We start from the raw sequence: 5,327 nt of genomic DNA on the forward strand, positions 1-5,327 counted from the left end.
AGAAAGAAAGAAAGAAAGAAAGAAAGAAAGAAAGAAAGAAAGAAAGAAAGGAAGGAAGGAGGGAGGGAGGGAAGGAAGGAAGGAAGGAAGAAAGAAAGAAAGAAAGAAAGAAAGAAAGAAAGAAAGAAAGAAAGAAAGAAAGAGAAAGAAAGAAGAAGAAGAAAGAGAGAGAAAGAAAGAGAGGAAGGAAGGAAGGAGGGAGAGAAAGGAAAGAAAGGATGGGAAAGGCAAGAGGTAAATCTCTCTCTCCTTGGGGAGGTCCCACAGTGCTTGTCCAACACTTAGCAAGGCTGACTTCCCTCTCACATCCTGAAATGCCTTCACCCTGGAGAAACAGAGGGACATCCCCATTTATGTACACTTTGTTGAACATGGAAAGAAGGTTAAACCTTTCTTCTTTCTTTCCTTTTTTTTCCATTCCCTCCATCTCCTGCAGGCTCCAAACAATTCTCTTCCCCCCTCACCCCCAGCACTATTAAGGTATAATTGCTAAATGAAGATTATATATATTTACAGTATACTACATTGCATAATGTTTTAACACATGTATACATTGTAAAACAATTACATCAAGCTAATTAACATAGCCACTTACCATTTTTTTTGTGGTGAGAACATTTAAGATCAACTGTCTTGCAATTTCCAGGTATAGGATTCATTATGATTGACTACAGTCACCGCGCTTACAATAGCTCTCCAGAACATATCCACCCTGTCCAACAATTTTTTTTCATTGCTATAAGGAAATATCTGAAGCTAGGTAATTTATAAAGAAAAGAGATTTGATTGGCTCATGATTCTGCAGGATGAACAAGCATGACACCAACATCTGCTGGACTTCTGGAGAGGCTTCAGGATGCTTCTCTATGCAGCTGAAGGTGCTACCTCAGATGTGCAGCTTGTCTGGCTTCCTGGTCTTCCCCTCCCTGGGGGACCAACTGACCCCAAACTTAGCCAGCAACCAAGTCATCAGGAGGGCTTCCTGACACACAGGCGCTGGCCTCATCCTACAGTTTCTAATTTACCAGGTCTGAGAATTTGCATTTCTAAGAAATTTCCTGGCAATGCTGGACCCTGAAGCACATCAGATGCTGGCTCCACTTCTGGGGAGACCATGTTTAAACCAAGGTAAAGGAGGCAGCAAGAAAGGCTGAGCAGTGTCTCTATCGGTAGCTTTACCCTCCCAGGTCTGGCTACACTGGGCTCTCCCCTGTCTGACAGCTCCCACGTGTGTATAATGCTGGAAAATAATTACTAATAGCAGCAATATATAATGTTGATTAAGGGTTCATGCCTACGAAGGACTAAAATGCATGGGTGATAATAGTCATAGTAATAGCACAAATAATAATAATGACTCAAACCATGATTTTGGCACTGTGGTGGGGCCAGCACCATACTCAGCATGCCCCTGTGAGCATCCCTGGTTCATCCGTGTCTTGCCCCTGGGTGGCAGCCTCCCATTTATCAGAGCTTAATGCCTACCACCCCCTCTTGAAAATATGCTTCTTTTTGTTCATTATCAATATCCTCATACCTACCCAGTGTCTGGCACAAATTTTGTATTCAATAAATATTTGTTAAAAGATAAAAAGGAGGCTCAGAGAGTCGAAATAACTCGCCAAAAAGACCATGCTGCTGATAACACTCAGAGATGAAATTCAGCTCCAGGGTTATCTGACCACAGAGTCCGAGCACTCCAGCCAGGGGCTGGAGGAAGGAGAATCCCACGTGAGGATGGGGAGCCTCTGATGCAACCCCTGGTCCCAGGCTGGGTGCCCTGACGTGAGATCCCAGCCTGGAGGGGTGGATATCAGCCTCCCTGCCTTACGTTTGGCTGCACTGGGGTTAAATCACCACCCAGGTCAAGCCCTTTGCAAGAGGAATAGGCATGACTCTGTGGTTCCCAGGTTAGTCTTCTCAGCCACTGCCTCCTGGTCCTCAGGTATAAGAGCCCTTGGTGGGCACCTTTGCATTTAACCTTATCAAGGGTCTGTGAATTTTGCAGTTAAATCCATTTTCACAGACTCAGAGGAAGAAACTGCCTGCCTGGAGTCACACAGCTAGTGCCTGGAGGCAGGCCTTTTGAACCCAAGGCCTCGCTTGGTGCCAGAGCCTCTCCCACCAACTCAGCACTGCCTCGGGGTGCTGCGTTCAGAGGTAGCAGCTTCATCAGAAGCAGGCAGCACAGTCGCGGCGGGCACCCAGGCAAAAGCAAGCCCAGCCTCCCCTCATCCCACCTCGTTGCCCTCTTGTGTCTTACGCCCCACAAAATTTCACTTATTCCACTAAGTATCCAGAATTTTCAGCCAGCAAAGAAAAGGAAGAAGAAACAGGCTGCACAGAGCAGCGAAGGCGTGTCTGGAGCGCTGCCCAAACTGACTCCTTCCATCACTCCCGGCACAAAGGAGCCGGCACGTCTGGCCTTCACGGACGCCTCCCTGTCCTTGCTCGCTCCAATTTCTTGGCTGACTGAAAGAAAAGGAGACCCCTGATCTAATGAAATGTTCCAGCAAGAGGATAAATTAACTTCCTCTCCGAGTTGTCCAAGCTATTTACTGTAAACCATGCAGTCAAATGAAACTGACTTCAGCAGCTCAGCAGGGTCTTACAGCCTCCAGTATCTGGAAGGAAGTCCTGGAAGGACGGATGGCCCCAAAACGCTTCTCCCTGGTGCTTTCCACTCTTCTTCTTTTCGGATTTTGAAAGGAAAACGTCTCTTTTGGAAATCAGTAATACTAATCAAAATATAAGGATTCCTGTTTTTAACATTTAAATTGCTCCAAACTTCCTTGTCCAAACTGCTAAAGCAGCATCCAGTTATTGAACAGTGCTTTCTAGAACTACTGAAAAACAGGGGTGAGCACAGGTTATCTTGAGAAAGCCGCATAGAGACAGGGCTGGGCTGCAGGGGAGCAGGAGAGGCCTTCACTCAGGGGTCCAGCAGGTGCTGGTGGGCCTGGCACAGCGGCACCCCCTTCCCTGCACCCGTGGAAAGGTTCCGCAGGAGGAGCTGTGGAGTGATCGGGGTGATGAACTCAGCATGAGGCTGTGGGTTGGTGGCCATGAGGGTGATTCACAGGTGCAGAGCAGGTTCTCAGACGTTGGTACATGTACAGATTGTGCAAGACAATAGGACACCAGACAGATCCCCGGGCTCCACAGCAGAAGTCTGGTTACTGGGCAGGCAGGCCCCAAACACTGTATTTAAAACAAAACCCCACTGACAAGTCCTGTGACTGGAGAGACCCCGAGTGAAGGCAGACCTCCATGTCCTCTACATCCTGTGCCACATCTGGAGAGACCCCTGTGAGGGCAGAGAGCTACCTCCTCTTCTTCCTGTGTCACACCTGGAGAGACCCCGAGTGAGGGCGGATGGCCACGTCTTCTACTTCCTGTGTCACACCTGGAGAGACCCCGAGTGAGGGCAGATGGCCACATCCTCTACTTCCTGTGTCACACCTGGGGAGACCCTGAGTGAGGGCAGACAGCCATGTCCTCTACGTCCTGTGCCACATCCGGAGAGACCCCAAGAGAGGGCAGACAGCCACCTCCTCTACTTCCTGTGTCACACCTGGAGAGACCCCGAGTGAGGGCGGATGGCCACGTCTTCTACTTCCTGTGTCACACCTGGAGAGACCCCGAGTGAGGGCAGATGGCCACATCCTCTACTTCCTGTGTCACACCTGGGGAGACCCTGAGTGAGGGCAGACAGCCATGTCCTCTACGTCCTGTGCCACATCCGGAGAGACCCCAAGAGAGGGCAGACAGCCACCTCCTCTACTTCCTGTGTCACACCTGGAGAGACTCCAAGTGAGGAGAGACGGCCACATCTTCTACTTCCTGTGTCACACCTGGAGAGACCTCGAGTGAGGGCAGATGGCCACATCCTCTAATTCCTGTGTCACACCTGGAGAGACCCCAAGTGAGGGCAGACTGCCACCTCCTCTACTTCCTGTGTCACACCTAGAGAGACCCCGAGTGAGGACAGCCAGCCATGTCCTCTACTTCCTGTGCCACATCCGGAGAGATCCCGAGTGAGGGCAGACAGCCATGTCCTCTACTTCCTGTGTCACACCTGGAGAGACCCCGAGTGAGGGCAGACGGCCACATCCTCTAATTCCTGTGTCACACCTGGAGAGACCCCGAGTGAGGGCAGACGGCCACCTCCTCTACTTCCTGTGTCACACCTGGAGAGACCCCGAGTGAGGGCAGACGGCCACATCCTCTAATTCCTGTGTCATGCCTGGAGAGACCCCGAGTGAGGGCATATGGCCACATCCTCTAATTCCTATGTCACACCTGGAGAGACCCCGAGTGAGGGTGGATGGCCACATCCTCTAATTCCTGTGTCATACCTGGAGAGACCCCGAGTGAGGGCAGATGGCCACCTCCTCTACTTCCTGTGTCACACCTGGAGAGACCCCGAGTGAGGGCAGATGGCCACCTCCTCTACTTCCTGTGTCACACCTGGAGAGACCCCAAGTGAGGGCAGACAGCCATGTCCTCTACGTCCTGTGCCACATCCGGAGAGACCCCGATGAGGGCAGACAGCTACCCCCTCTACTTCCTGTGTCACACCTGCAGAGACCCCAAGTGAGGGCAGATGGCCACCTCTTCTACTTCCTGTGTCACACCTGGAGAGGCCCCGAGTGAGGGCAGACGGCCACCTCCTCTACTTCCTGTGTCACACCTGGAGAGACCCCGAGTGAGGGCAGACGGCCACATCCTCTATTTCCTGTGTCACACCTGGAGAGACCCCGAGTGAGGGCAGACGGCCACATCCTCTAATTCCTGTGTCACACATGGAGAGACCCCGAGTGAGGGCAGAAGGCCACATCCTCTACTTCCTGTGTCACACCTAGAGAGACCCCGAGTGAGGGCGGATGGCCACATCCTCTAATTCCTGTGTCACACCTGGGGAGACCCCGAGTGAGGGCAGATGGCCACATCCTCTAATTCCTGTGTCACACCTGGAGACACACAGAGTAAAGGTGGACAGCCACCTCCTCTACGTCCTGTGCCACACCTGGAGACACCCTGAGTTAAGGCAGATGGCCACCTCCTCTAATTATTTTTAAGAACTTTTTTGGGGTATAATTTACATGCCAGAAAGTTCACCCATTTCAAGCATATGATTCAATATTAAAGCTTAAAAATGTTATCAATTTAATAACATTGATGGTTACAGAGCTGTGTAATCATCAACCTAATCCAATATTAGAGCATTTTCATCACCTCCAGAAAGATTTCTGGTGCCTGATGCAGTCATTTTCTTTTAGACTCCCAGCTCCAGGCCTCTCCTCACAAATCCTCGCAGCCAACAC

General features: G+C 50.7%; 1 annotated feature.

Annotated features, from left to right (window-relative positions):
• Positions 3,568-4,767: an enhancer, noted in NCBI's record as "MED14-independent group 3 enhancer chr20:59676211-59677410 (GRCh37/hg19 assembly coordinates)". NCBI's record gives its function as "activates an origin of replication core promoter dependent on BRD2, BRD4, P300/CBP and CDK7 cofactors, and independent of MED14, by STARR-seq in HCT116 cells {active_cell/tissue: HCT116}" and the evidence as "EXISTENCE:reporter gene assay evidence [ECO:0000049][PMID:35650434]".

Source organism: Homo sapiens, chromosome 20 (genome assembly GCF_000001405.40).
Source record: "Homo sapiens chromosome 20, GRCh38.p14 Primary Assembly".
In the NCBI taxonomy this organism is placed as follows: domain Eukaryota; kingdom Metazoa; phylum Chordata; class Mammalia; order Primates; family Hominidae; genus Homo; species Homo sapiens.